At 38.4% G+C, this 14,711-nt stretch overlaps 1 protein-coding gene and 1 non-coding gene across 3 annotated transcripts in view; both read left to right on the top strand.

Moving 5' to 3' along the window:
- NUCKS1 (nuclear casein kinase and cyclin dependent kinase substrate 1) overlaps nucleotides 1-14,711 on the top strand; it is a 37,361-nt gene that overhangs the window by 16,584 nt on the left and 6,066 nt on the right. The window contains exons 2-6 of one of the 2 annotated variants that reach the window (XM_005245453.2): nucleotides 3,978-4,027; nucleotides 5,794-5,899; nucleotides 9,618-9,673; nucleotides 12,946-13,098; nucleotides 13,926-14,072. In XM_005245453.2, coding sequence (XP_005245510.1) covers nucleotides 3,978-4,027; nucleotides 5,794-5,899; nucleotides 9,618-9,673; nucleotides 12,946-13,098; nucleotides 13,926-14,072 — 512 coding nt within the window. Of the gene's footprint in view, nucleotides 1-3,977; nucleotides 4,028-5,793; nucleotides 5,900-9,617; nucleotides 9,674-12,945; nucleotides 13,099-13,922; nucleotides 14,073-14,711 lie in introns of both variants that reach the window. The other variant, NM_022731.5, reaches the window with a different exon arrangement.
- LOC124900423 (small nucleolar RNA SNORA72) lies at nucleotides 2,247-2,378 on the top strand. Its single transcript, XR_007067368.1, has one exon. It is a non-coding gene; the product is annotated as a small nucleolar RNA SNORA72 (small nucleolar RNA).

The following is a 14,711-nucleotide window of genomic DNA, read 5'->3' as shown; positions in this document are numbered from 1 at the left end:
TAGAATATCTTTTAGATCTGTCAAGCAATTTAGGTTATCAGTTCCAACAGAGGAAGAACTAAGGCCCAGAGAAATTACATGATTTTCTTGACATTCTAGAACCAGAACCCAGGATTCCTAGTACAAAGAGTCCATACTAATTCCTTTCTTGAGTGTTTCTAGTGATAGAGTAAGGAAGTAGCCATTGTTAGCAGACAGTTAAAGCTCTTTATGTTGAACCTACACTTAATGTGATTGCTAAAGCTAAGCTGTACCTCTACTACTCCTTTCACATCAAAGCCCTAAAGTAGCTAACATGTTTTCCCATTTTACAAGTTAAATATTCTCAATTTATTCATTTGTTCTTCATATGATATACCGTTTACCATTCTGGTTGTCCATCCTTATGTAGTTTCATAGGATATATCCATTGCTACGTCGTACCCAGAAATGGGGTAATAATATGTTAGTTGCCACCCCACAAGCATGGGATAAGCTAGAATTATACCTACAAGTTCGGAACCTGTATTTTAATTATTAGAGGATAAGATGTAAGAGTTCCTCTTCTAGATACCTTTCTTCCCCTGGTTCTATGACCCATTTTTTTTATCCTAAATAATACAGAAAATGGTCGTGTTTGCATTATGATCATCATACTATTTTTCATGGCATTTGTCATTAAAAAATCACTGTTTTGCCAGAACATGGCAGGCATTTCCATAGTAGCCCAAAAATATTAGATTTTTTCATAGTCATATTTTTAAGAAAGAAAATATATTTTTATTGTAATAAAATATGCTTAGCATAAAATTTACCATCTTAACTTTTTTTTTTTTTTTTGAGACAGAGTCTTGCTCTGTTGCCAGGCTGGAGTGCAGTGGTGCGATCCCTGCTCACTGCAACCTCTGTCTCCCAGGTTCAAGCAATTCTCCTGCATCAGTCTCCCAAGTAGCTGGCACTACAGGCACGCACCACCACGCCCAGCTAATTTTTGTACTTTTACTAGAGACGGGTTTTCACCATGTTGGCCAGGATGGTCTCGATCTTTTGACCTCATGATCCGCCCACCTTGGCCTCCCAAAGTGCTGGGATTACAGGCATGAGCCACTGTGCCCGGCCCATGTTAACCATTTTTAAGTGTATAGTTCAGTATTGTTAAGTACTTGACATTGTTGTAAAGAACTCTTAATCTTGCAAAACTGAAACTAAACCCACTAAACAACAGCTCCTCATCCCCACTCTTCCAGCCTCTGGCAACCACCACTCTACTTTCTGTCTCTCTGAATTCATCTACTCTAGGTCCCTCATGTACATGGAATTAATAGTCATATTTAAAGTTAGCTTTCCTAATAATATAGTATCTTTGGTAATATAAACTCAGCTTCTTACAATAAAATATATAGTTGGAGTATATTTTATAGTTTTGTTAAACTAAAGAAAAACAGAAGGTGGAACTCCTTAAGAGCCTTGTTTTTTCTCTTTCTAATGCTGAGTATGTAACTATATATTCCTCTACATATAAGCCCAAGCCTTTTTTTCCAGAATTCACCTCCATCCATACCATCTCCACATACTATACTAGAAGGTGGACCAGTGTTTGCAGTCTGACCATCCTGTCTTTGAATTTAAATGGTGTCTTAATCTATACAGCCAAGAATATCCCTCTGCTCAGGTTTAAGTATAGGTGGTAATGTATATTTATCTTAAATTTTTTTTTTTTTTTTGAGACGGAGTCTCTCTCTTTCGCCCAGGCTGGAGTGCAGTGGCGTGATGTTGGCTCACTCACTGCGAGCTCTGCCTCCCGGGTTCAAGCCATTCTCCTGCCTCAGCCTCCCGAGTAGCTGGGACTACAGGCGCCCGCCACCACACCCAGCTAATTTTTTAGTATTTTTAGTGGAGACGGGGTTTCACCACGTTGGCCAGGATGGTCTCAATCTCCTGACCTCGTGATCTGCCCGCCTCGGCCTCCCAAAGTGGTGAAATTATAGGCGTGAGCCACTGCGCCTGGCCTATTTCTCTTAATTTTTTAAGTTCACTTGATCAATTTAGGCCTACAGTAACAGTGCATTTTTTAATCTAAGGCTCTTTTGCCAGGTAGGCTGTTTGGGTACTAACATGGAAGCTTACATGTATATCTCTAGAGAAGAAGTATTAAACTTTTAGATTTAGAGTGCAGAGTACAAAAATAGAAATGAAGATTTGTTTGAGATGTTAAAGATACGTTACTTGATAGGGAGTACTTAAAGTCATTTAGAGTCAAATAGATTCTGCAGATATTCTCACTGTTTTGATTTTGTAATAGTCAGGACAGGCTAACCATTCACTTTATTAAGACCATGCATATATCCCCAGAACTAGTTCTTTCCTGAGGTCTAGTTTTATAAATGTTGCTGATAAACCAGGTCTGTAAAATTGGAAAAGGAAAAAAAAAGTTTAGAAACAAAAGAATAGAGTCAAATACATAGATGTACATAAATCTGTGAGGCTTTCATAGTTTTTTAAATAAAGCATCTTTTGACTGGACCAATTAATTTGTTTCCTTCCCCTTCTGTATAAAGCTTAACATTACCATAATTTTTGTGCATTATAATGTAACTGTACTATACCTAAAAATTGCTTTTGCCTTGAAAAGCTTAGTAATAACCTTGTTTATCAAGTATACATATATATGTGTGTAGCAGTAAGAGTAAAATATCATTTACAACTTTAGCTTATAAATAGGGCATCTTTGTATATAATGAATACATAGGTACATGGTGATTTGGCTCATTTTGCTGTTTTATGTATATTTGTTTTGAGAGACGGGAGATTGTTTTGTAGAAAAGAATGGTATTTGAGACCGGGCACGGTGGCTCACGCCTGTAATCCCAGCACTTTGGGAGGCCAAGACGGGCGGATCACGAGATCAGGGGAGACCAGCCTGGCCAACATGGTGAAACCCCGTCTCTACTAAAGATACAAATATTAGCCAGGCGTGGTGGCACACGCCTGTAATCTCAGCTACTCGGGAGGCTGAAGCAGGAGAATCGCTTGAACTTGGGAGGCAGAGGTTGCAGTGAGCCAAGATCTCGCCATTGCACTCTAGCCTGGGCGACAGGGCAAGACTTCATCTCAAAAAAAAAAAAAGAGAGAGAAAAGAATGGTATTTGAATTATCACTGAGATGAGCAGTATGAGAATTGTAGCTTGACATACTTGTGGTTTATGCTATGCTTTCTTATAACAGAATGTTAAGTACTTAGGCTTAAGTGGGGGCCTTTAAAAAATAATTTTTGGCTGGGTGCAGTGGCTCGTGCCTGTAATCCCAGCACTTCGGGAGGCTGAGGCAGGATGACTACCTGAGCTCAGGAGTTTGAGACCAGCCTGGGCAACACCAGGAGACCCTGTCTCTACAAAAAATGAAAAAAAATTAGCCAGCATGCGTCTGTAGTCCCAGCTACTCAGGAGGCTGAGGCAGGCGGATTACTTGGGCCCAGTAGGTCAAGGTTGCAGTGAGCCATGATTGTGTCACTGCTCTCCAGCCTAGGCGACAGAGTGACACCCTGTCTCAAAAAATTAATTAAATAATTTTCTTTTTTTTTCTTTTCTTTTTTTTTTTTGAGATGGAGTTTCACTTTTGTTGCCCAGGCTGGAGTGCAATGGAGGTATCTCGGCTCACCACAACCTCTGACCCCTGGGTTCAAGTGATTCTCCTACCTCAGCTTCCCAAGTAGCAGGGATTACAGGCATGCACCACCACGCTTGGCTAATTTTGTGTTTTTAGTAGAGACAAGGTTTCTCTATGTTGGTTAGGCTGATCTCAAACTCCCAACCTCAGATGATCCACCAGCCTTGGCCTCCCAAAGTGCTGGGATTACAGGTGTGAGCCACCACGTCCAGCAATTAAATAATTTTCAAAGTGCTAGTTCAGTTCTGTTTATGAAAGAGAAATGTGTGTTCTGATGTCTTAGAAAAATCCTACAGTTTTATGATTTTAATTAGAGTCTCTTCTTTCTACAGAAATAGGAAGGTTGTTGATTACTCACAGTTTCAGGAATCTGATGATGCAGGTAAGTTTTGTGGTTTCAACAAATTTTAAGTTGGACTGACCAGTGGAGGTTACCAGCTTATATAGTTTTATTATGCTTTTGGAATAAGTTTTACTTTTTTATTTTTAGATCATTTACCAAAACCATGTCATGATCTGTGTCAACCAAAGCAAAAGTTGAACTTACATGGATTTTAACTTTTCCTTGGTAAATCATTGATAATAAACATTAAAAAGCTTTTTTCTTACCTGGTTTTGGAGTCCAAAGTTTAAATGTCCAGTAATTCTGATACAGTGTTCATTGCTTAAAATATCTCCTGCTGTCAGCCAGTCGCCATGGCTCATGCCTGTAATCCCAGCACTTTGGGAGGCCAAGGTGGGCGGACCACTTGAGGTCAAGAGTTCCAGACCATCCTGGCCAACATGGTGAAACCCCATCTCTGCTAAAAATACAAAAATTAGCCGGGAGTGTTGGCATGCACCTGTAATCCCAGCTACTCTGGAGGCTGAGGCAAGAGAATCGCTTGAACTCGGGAGGCGGAGGTTGCAGTGAGCCGAGATGGCGCCACTGCACTCCAGCCTGGGCAACAGAAAGAGACCCTGTCTCAAAAAAAAAAATCCACTACAGCCAGGCGCAGTGGCTCACGCCTATGAATCCCAGCACTTTGCAGGGGAAAAAAAATCTCCTGCTGTTACTACAATAAAACTTGTGCCTTGTATTATGTTTTTACATAATAAAGCAACTAAGATGAGAGTCTGTTTTGTGAAACAACTTATATTTATGAACTAATTCATCAAGGAATGAGTGTTGTATAGCTAAGTCTTAGCCATAAGAGGTTTTTTCAGAGTTGTCTCCTTAATCTCATTACTTTCCAGGTATGTTTACTATTCTTTTTTCTTTCTTTTTATTCTAACTTTTCTTTATAAAGATAATATGTGCCCTTTGGGAAGACTTAGAAAATACTGAAAGATATGAAGAAGAGAAAAAAAATAATATGTAGCACTAATATTTATTAAATGCTTGCTACATGTCAGGAATTGTTTCAAATGTTTGTATTTAATATTTACTTAGAATAATCTGTTAATGTGTGATATACTATTATTATTTCTATTTTGAGTATCTTGTTAATAAAAGGTATTTGAAAAATTCCTATCAATGGTTATATAATATCCCATAATGGAATTTATAATGTTTCTGACCACTTAATAATTGCTGACGCTCCAGACTACTTCCAGCATCTCGCCATCGTGTGTGTGTGTGTGTGCATGTGTGTGTGTGCAAATGGTGCAGTAAACAGTTTTGGAAATAATTTCCTTTTAAGGTAGAGTCATTTTCCTTAGTTTTATAGGGCTTTTGAAATTGGAGATATTTTCTTCAAGTGCAAGATTATGTTGTATTTAATGCTTTAGTTTAAAAGTAATTTGCTTAGTAATAGTAATTGTGTTTACTTCCTAAAATGTTTGTAATATAACCATATTACAATAATTTTCAAATAAGTGTGAAGATGTTGAAATCAAAAGGGGAGGGTATAAAATGATGAGAGAGGTTTAGCTATAGAAAGATGAAATATATATCATAAGGACTAGAGGGTAATATGCAAAAACGAAGTGAAGGTGATAGGACTGCGTTGGGAAATAATTTAGTTTTTTAAAGATGAAAGAAACTATTTGGGAAATCCTGCTCCTCTCACCATTTAAACAGCATGAGAGATAATTATGTCAGTAAATATAGTGGTGATTTTAACATGTAAAAATCATAGTTAATTAAGTTTGAAAAACACTGTTTAGATGAAGATTATGGAAGAGATTCGGGCCCTCCCACTAAGAAAATTCGATCATCTCCCCGAGAAGCTAAAAATAAGAGGCGATCTGGAAAGAATTCACAGGAAGATAGGTAAGAGGCATTGTTTTTCTGTTCCTGCTTACACTGTTACCACTCTGAGATGAGAGCAGTCTCTGATCTCTAAATTGTTGGAATCTCATATACTTTTGAAAAGTACTTACTGTCCACTTAATATTTTGCATATTTCATATTATCTCAGGCTGTGCTCGAGTATACAATTTGTTATCTAAGGTTAATACTGACACTTTCATTGTAGTGATAACAAAAAATAAGTGATATATCTCATTCAGTCACAAATCACTGGCACAATTAATTACAACTAAAGCTTGTAGAATCTTAAGTTGTATAGCCTGCTGCCTTTTGCTGTCTCATAATCAATTCTCCTTTGTTTAAATAATTTAACCATTTTGGAGAGTTTCTTTTCCCTTAGTTTTACAAATGAGTTGTGATTTTAACTATAATTTTGCCTCATAAGACCAGGATATTAGGAGTACATGGTGGCTCATGCTTGTAATCCCAGGACTTTGGGAGGCCTAGGTAGGAGGATCGCTTGAGCCCGGGAGTTTGAGACCAGCCTGGGCAATATAAGGAGACCACATCTCTACATAAAAATTTAAAAATTGGCCGGGAATGGTGGCACTTGCCTGTAGTCCCAGCTACTCAGGAGTCCGAGGCAGGAGGATCCTTTGAGCCCAGGAGTTCAAGGCTGCAGTGAGCTATGATTGCACCACTGCACTCCAGCCTAGGTGACAGAGCCAGGACTGTCTTGGGAAAAAAAAACAACAACAAGACGAGGATATTGTAATTTCTGCCTTGTTAGTAAAGTTATACACACTCTCACACTTGATGTAACATGAACTTGTTACACTTGGTGTAACAAGACCTTCTTGGTGATAATGGTGATTATAGTGATGGTGATGGCTACTGTTTATTATGTGACAATCTCTATTATGTGTTTTACGTACACTATCATTTAATTCTTACATCATCTCTATTTGGGTAAATATTAACTTCTTAGAGGGGTTCTGTGATTTAACCAAAGTTATCCAGCAAATGGACAAACAGGTTATGAAACCATGTCTGTTGGACTCCAAAGTACATTGTTTAACCATTGGAGCTCTATACCACTTCCAAATAATACTATTACAAATGAGCAGTTCAAATAAATGAAATATTTCTCACTGCTTCTTCTAAGAATCTTGGAGCACCAAAATCATTATTAAATTCATGTATTTACCTAGTAGTTTTATTTATGTTGACAACCTCTAATACTTTTTTTGCTGGAGCATTTCAGAAGTGTGCTTTTAAGGAAAAATAATACAGAATTATACTGTTGGGAAACAAGTCTTCTAGAGCTTCTTGGTATATGTCTAACATAGTTGTTGTTGTTTGTTTTTAATAGAGATGGGCTCTCGCCATGTTGCCCAGGCTAGTTTCAAACTCCTGGGCTCAAGCGATCCTCCCATCTCAGCGTCCCAAAGTGCAGGGATTACAGTGTGAGCCACCATGCCTGGCCTAAAACAGTTTTTTGTTTGTTTGTTTGTTTGTTTTTTGAGGCAGTCTCACTCTTGTCACCCAGGCTGGAGTGCAATGGTATGGTCTCAGCTCACTGCAACCTCTGCCTTCTGGGTTCAAGTGATTCTCTTGCCTCAGCCTCCTGAGTAGCTGGGACTATGGGCACCCACCACCACACCTGGCTAATTTTTGTATTTTTAGTAGAGATGGGGTTTCACAGTGTTGGCTAGGCTGGTCTTGAACTCCTGACCTCGTGATCAGCCCACCTCGGCCTCCCAAAGTGTTGGAATTACAGGCATGAGCCACCGCGCCGGGCCAAACAGTTTTAGATGGCAGCCCAACTCAGAACTATTTTTCATTATATTCATTATCTTATTTCTCCTAGGAAAGACCTGCTTTGTGGCATGTTATAATGTCTCATTGACATAATTAACATCTAGCTTACAGTTTTTCTTGTTGCAGTCATTTGATTTTATTATTCTGAGTGCTGGAAGGATTGAAATAAATACAGGTTTTATTGCTATCTGTATGCCTTGTGTATTTATTCTCAGACCAGTGCTCTGTTGATTTTTCTGTTTTCAAAGTTCAGCCTTCACTTAACTTTGCTGTAGTGGTACTTAAAGATTAATGTAGTCTATAAACTCGATAAAAGAGCTGGAAAAAATAATATAATTCATCATTGTGTTAGAATTATGAATTTGGTGCTTATTTTGCATAAAAAACATTTATACAGAACAGTCACAGGTTTCAGAATTATAAAGTGTCTTGGACTCAGGTTGCTTAGTAAAGGAATATGTTTGGTCATTCTCTTTGCTTAGGAATCATGGGTTCAGTAATTTCTCATTTGAGTGTGGTCTAGATTATGGAGAATACCAAAAGTGATTTATAAGACCTGCTATTTGAGAAAGGAAAGCTTTGAAGGCAGTTTTTATGTGCGAGTTTTTGGTTTTTGTTCTTCAGAATTTTTCATGGAATCGTAAAATTGTAGCATTGAAGAATACCAAGTGATTTGCCTAAGATCATACAACTAACTAATGACAAACAGACTACTAGGTGCTGGATATGGTGGCTCACGCTTGTAATCCCAGCACTTTGGGATGCCAGGACAGGTGGATCACTTGAGCTCAGGAGTTCATCACCAGCCTGGGCAACATGGTGAAACCCCATCTCTATTTTTAAAAATATGGAAATTAACAAAGAGAGATAGGATACTAGAATCCAGATTCTGGAGTTAAGACTTATGAAGACATAATGTGTTTGGTTGTAACTAAAAATTGTTTTTAAAAACTTTCCATTGAACTTTGAAGCTCCTTAACTTCTTATTTTACTTTGTGGAGTGATTTTGAGCTCATTTTATTTTCTTCATGGTACCACCAGGCAGGACTATATGTTGATGTTTCTGATGCAAAGAAATATTGGAAGGAAATATTAATAGGGGATAATTCAATCAATTTATTTTCCATTTTGTTCTAGGTAAATTTTTAGGCATATTATAAGTTAGGTAAGATAACTGAACTACAATTCCTTTTTTTGGGGGGGGTGGGGATGGAGTCTTGCTCTGCCACCCAAGCTGGAGTGCAGCGGTGCAATCCTAGCTCACTGCAACCTCTGCCTCCTGGGTTCAAGTGATTCTCCTCTCTCAGCCTCCCGAGTAGCTGAGATTACAACCATGCACCACCACGCCTGGCTAATATTTGTATTTTTAGTAGAGACAGGGTTTCACCATGTTAGCCAGGCTGGTCTTGAACTCCTGGCCTCCAGCAATCTGCCTACCTCAGCCACCCAAACTGCTGAGATTACAGGCGTGAGCCACCACGCCCGGACTACAGTTCCTTTTAATAATTTTAGATATTTTAGCAGTTTTTCTTGTGTATATTTAGTGATCTTTATTTGCCATCAACACTATGTATTTTTAGTATTTTTATACTCTGCCTCTGTTCGAGAATATTTTTCTTATTAAATATTCTTGTGAACCAAGCTTTATCCATAGGTGAAAAAATTCCAGCCTGTGTTGAGACAGCTTCTTTTTTTCCTTTGAGTCTTTGGAAGCAGTGTTTTGTAACGTAAATAAAATTGTGCTTATTCACCAGCATCCCTGTAAATAAGGAAATAAAGTACTCCTTAGCATTTGTTTGAAGATTTTATATAGAAGAGGTATTTTTCACTTCTTCTCAAGTCAGAAATCAGAGATCTATGTTCACTTAGATTTTGAGCTAAGACTTTTATGCATTTGCTTTTTTGCCTCCCTTTATAGTGAGGACTCAGAAGACAAAGATGTGAAGACCAAGAAGGATGATTCTCACTCAGCAGGTAGTAAACTATTTTAAATGTAAGAGGTATAATTATATTTGTATATTATTTTATTAGATGTTTTAATAAGTGATTTCTATGCCAGGCACTGTTGCAAATCTGGGATTACAAAGACGTTTCCATCTTCAAAGAGCTCCTAATGATTGTCAGTCCTGGTGGCTTATTACAGTCATCTATGAATCTTTTTTAAAATGCATATTCTGGGTCCTGTCCCAAAATTTCTGATTAAATAGATCTAAGTGGGATGTTGGGGCTTGGTTTTCTTTAAGTATCTATACATTATTCTTATGCACAGTCAATATTGGAAATCATTTACGTAAACAAAAGACATCAAACTAAATAGAATAATATATAAATATAAAACTTGGTAAAATAGGGGCATAAAAAGGGGGAGTGGTGGACTCTGGGTGGAAAAGCAAATGAAAGTTTCATTCCCACTCTTTTTAGTGGAGACATAGCCTTTTGTAACAGTAGCCATAGAGAAAGTTTTTTTTGTAAAAATTTTAACTTAAATTAATATGAATTAATGGGGAGTCTCCATGGCCAAATAAAATGTTCAGTCCTGATGATTCTACTTGTTGTTGGTATTTATTTTTAAATTTAATCTTCTAAGAATTGAGATTTTTAATCCATATTACTTCCAGCCACTTTAGTTTTGACCTACATTCCCTTGCTGTTGTCTCCCTGGATCTCCCTTTAAATGAGACTGCTGTTTAGCTAATACAAAGGGGAGAGACAAAGTTCTGCTAAATTCACTCTGCTTAGCTGTTTTGCTTTCCCTCCTATTCAAGTATACTATCTGGCTACCTAAGTTGAAAAGAAACTGTATTAATCTTTTGCACTATCTGGTGATCCTGTGATAATAGAGTATATGCTTTCAGTCATTTGCCTTGTAAATCCTAGTTTGAATCTCTTACACTTGCTAGTTTATTGAGCACTTCTAGATAAATAACTCTGTACTAGTATTAAGCTAAGCTTCTACCAAGTGGGTTTAGTTTTGGGTCGGCCATGTCAGCTTTATTCTGTTTGTCTCTAGATGAGATTTTTAAAAGTGAAAGAGATGACTTGAACACTGACTATGGCAAGGCTCATGGGACTAGAAGTGTTTTCAGAAAAGGGCTGTAGGTAGAGACTAAGGCAAATATGGTTTAGTCTAGAGGCAGTAGGCTGGCAGCCTACCCTTTAACCAAATTTATTCACAAACACAACTGTGTGTTAAAAAAATTTTTTTTAGGCTGAGCATGGTGGCTCCCACCCGCCATCCCAGCACTTTGGGAGGCCAAGGTGGGTGGATCACCTGAGGTCAAGGGTTCAAGACCAGCCTGGCCAACATGGCAAAACCCTGTCTCTATCAAAAATACAAAAATTTGGCTGAGCCCGGTGGCTCATGCCTGTAATCCCAGCACTTTGGGAGGCCAAGGCAGGTGGATCACCTGAGGTCAGGAGTTCGAGACCAGCCTGGCCAACATGGCAAAACTCCTTCTCTACTAAAAATAAAAAAATTAGCCGGGTGTGGTGGTGGGTGCCTGTAATCCCAGCTACTCGGGAGGCCGAGGCAGGAGAATCACTTGAACCTGGGAGGCAGAGGTTGCAGTGAGCTGAGATCCCACTGTTGTACTCCAGCCTAAGCAAGAAGAGCAAAACTCCATCTCAAAAAACAAACAAGCAAACAACAACAAGAAATTAGCCGGGCATGGCTGCATGTGCCTGGAGTCCTAGCTACTCGGGAGGATGAGACAGGAGAATAGCTTGAACCCAGGAGGCACAGGCTGCAATGAGCCAAGATTGCACCACTGCACTCCAATCTGGGCGACAGAGTGAGACTCCAAATTAAAAAAAAAAAAATTTTTTTTTCATTAATAGACTCTAAGAATATGTGAAAGTAAATTTTTTATAGGCTTCTCCAAATGTCTTTCACTAATTAATCTAAATATGTATTTTAAAGATTTTCCAGCTGGGCGCAGTGGCTCACGCCTGTAATTCCAGCACTTTGGGAGGCCAAGGAGGGTGGATCACCTGAGGTCGGGAGTTCGAGACCAGCCTGACCAACATGGTGAAACCCTGTCTCTACTAAAAATACAAAATTAGCCAGGAGTGGTGGTGCGCACCTGTAATCCCAGCTACTCGGGAGGGTGAGGCAGGAGAATCGCTTGAACCTGGGAGGTGAGGTTGCAGTGAGGCGAGATTGCGCTATATTGCACTCCAGCCTGGGCAACAAGAGCAAAACTCCATCTCAAAAAAAAAAAAAAGGTTTTCCACAATCCCCTCTAAATTGAAATGGTCACAAGCCATTCATTGTAAAGGGTAACAGTTTGACATTATTTTAGGGTTTTCGTGTTTTATGTCTTAGAATAAAGATTATTGGAAGACATTCTTTCTCTCTCATACTATGTTAAGATATTTTTCTAACTTTAGCTTTCAAAAACAGTGAACATAGATTTGAATGTAATTGAGAATTGTAGAGCAAAGCAATGATGTAACTTTAAAGTATAGGAGTCATGTATTCACGCTTTAATTCAGCTTGTCTACTGCTTAAAATTACATTCCCTTGTTACTTTATATGTAATAGTGGTTACATAGTCTTGTCCAAGTTCATTCTTTGTGAATTTAGGTCCCCTTTATACATTTTGTAGAATTTTTTTTTTTTTTATGTTGTGGGATACATGTGCAGGATGTGCAGGTTTGTTACATACGTAAATGTGTGCCATGGTGATTTGCTGCACCCATCAACCCATCACCTAGGTATTAAGCCCAGCATGCATTAGCTAATTTTTAATGCTCTCCCTCTCCATCCCCCCACCCTGCCCCCTCCCTCGCCACAGGCCCCAGTGTGTGTTGTTCCCCTCCCTGTGTCCATGTGTTCTCATTGTTCAGCTCCCACTTATAAGCGAGAACATGGCAGTGTTTGGTCTTTTGTGCCTGCATTAGTTTGCTGAGGATAATGGCCTCCAGCTCCATCCATGTCCCTGCAAAGAGCATGATCTCCTTCCCTTTTTATGGCTGCATAGTATTCCATGGTGTGTATGTACCACATTTTCTTTATCCAGTCTATCATTGATGGGCATTTGAGTTGATTCCATCATTTTGCAGAAATGTTGAAGGATAGAATTTGCCCTTTTACAATGAAATAAAGCTGCAGATTATATCCTATATTGGCCACTGTGTTGGCCTTTTCAGTCAGTTATGTTTTCAGTCAATTATTAATCTTTTGCACTATCTTGTCAAATATAAAATTCTTTAATCATTATATCATGGTAATTCTGATATTGCAGAGGATAGTGAAGATGAAAAAGAAGATCATAAAAATGTGCGCCAACAACGGCAGGCGGCATCTAAAGCAGCTTCTAAACAGAGAGAGATGCTCATGGAAGATGTGGGCAGTGAGGAAGAACAAGAAGAGGAGGATGAGGCACCATTCCAGGAGAGTATGTGAAGTTGTTTTGTGTACTTTGGTTGTTTGGTCATAATTGTAGTTTGTGACCTTGGTTACTTTGGCATTTTCTAGGATGCTAAATGTTACAACCAGTCCCTTAAATTGGGTAGATACTCCGTGTTAAAAGAGATGACTGTATTGGTTCCTGTTAATATTTTTAAAGGTTCAGAGATTCTCACGATTGCCCACCATTTGTAATGGTTGCACCCTTTATTTAATGATGTCTGTGTTCAAACACTGAATGAACAATTTGCTTAAGTAACAGTCACATTAGGCATTGTGATTGAGATTTGTATTTTGCCCTGGTGGAGGAGGTTGTAGACCTCTTTTCACAGAAAAAAACATGTTAATAATAAAATTTAGGTGTTTCACAGGTTATTCAGATTAGTTAATCCTATGTATTTTTGTTTTGTGTTTGGTTTTCTTGTTTCACTTATTCATAATTGGACCAAAAAGGCCCTGTCAGTTCAGTTTTGTTTCCCTGGTCTCAACCAGTACTACTTGGAAGTGATGGAACTACCAAAAGTTATTTGATAGTTTCAGTTTTTATTCAGATTAACTCTTACCCTTCCTGTTTTCAATCTACTTTTCAAACACATCACTCATGTAACTCTCTCATGTAAGGTGCATGCAAAATCCATTTGACAAATGAGGCCAGTGATGACTCCAGTCAAATTGGTAGTACAGCTCCAAATAGAATCCAAGGGTGTTTGACTCCCAAATCCCATCCTCTAGTCATTCTTAGCACTCTCTTCCTTTTTTACTTGGAAGGATGTGTACATTAAGTTAGATGTTGAAATTCTTCTTTCTTCTCAGAAGATTCCGGCAGCGATGAAGATTTCCTAATGGAAGATGATGACGATAGTGACTATGGCAGTTCGAAAAAGAAAAACAAAAAGATGGTTAAGAAGTCCAAACCTGAAAGAAAAGAAAAGAAAATGCCCAAACCCAGACTAAAGGCTACAGGTAATTTCTGCAGAAGTGAAATTAAATTTACTGCTTTAAAAATTTTGAGAATCATTATTTTCAATACAGAAATTCCTCATTAGGATTTGGCATTGGCCTGATGTTTAGCAGGAATACAAGAAATCTAAAAGGGTCTTGTATTCTGCAACTGGAAGTATCTCTTATTAATAAAGACACTAGCCTGTTTAAGAGTCTAGTGGGCTTAGCCATGTTCTTCAACTACTGCCAGTACTTGAGCAAGATTTCAGAATGATCTATTTGTTTCAGACACAGTGGTAGAAACACTGTGTCATCATAGTTGTTACTGCTCTTTTTTCCTCACTGGTATCACAGTCTCAGCAGCCAGCAAAGACTTAATTGTGAAAATGCACAAACCTAGAGTAATACGTTTAAGTTCCACGTTCTGAACTCTACCCCATCCTCTGTGCTATCAGAATAAAACCACACTTGATGACATGAGTTGATTTTTTTCTGAGCCCTAATGGTTTCTCCTCGTTGGAGCTAGTTTGTTAACTAAATCAGAAATCAATTTGCTTTTTGTGTAGGTGGTTTTATTCTGTTAGGTAGAACTAGTCATTGTTAAACTTCTGTTTATCACTTCCTACTGTTAGGAATGATGGAACTATCAAATGTTATTTG

The sequence above is a fragment of the Homo sapiens genome, chromosome 1 (assembly GCF_000001405.40).
Source record: "Homo sapiens chromosome 1, GRCh38.p14 Primary Assembly".
NCBI lineage: Eukaryota > Metazoa > Chordata > Mammalia > Primates > Hominidae > Homo > Homo sapiens.
Note: the sequence above shows the minus strand (reverse complement) of the source record. Positions and strands in the feature narration are given on the sequence as shown.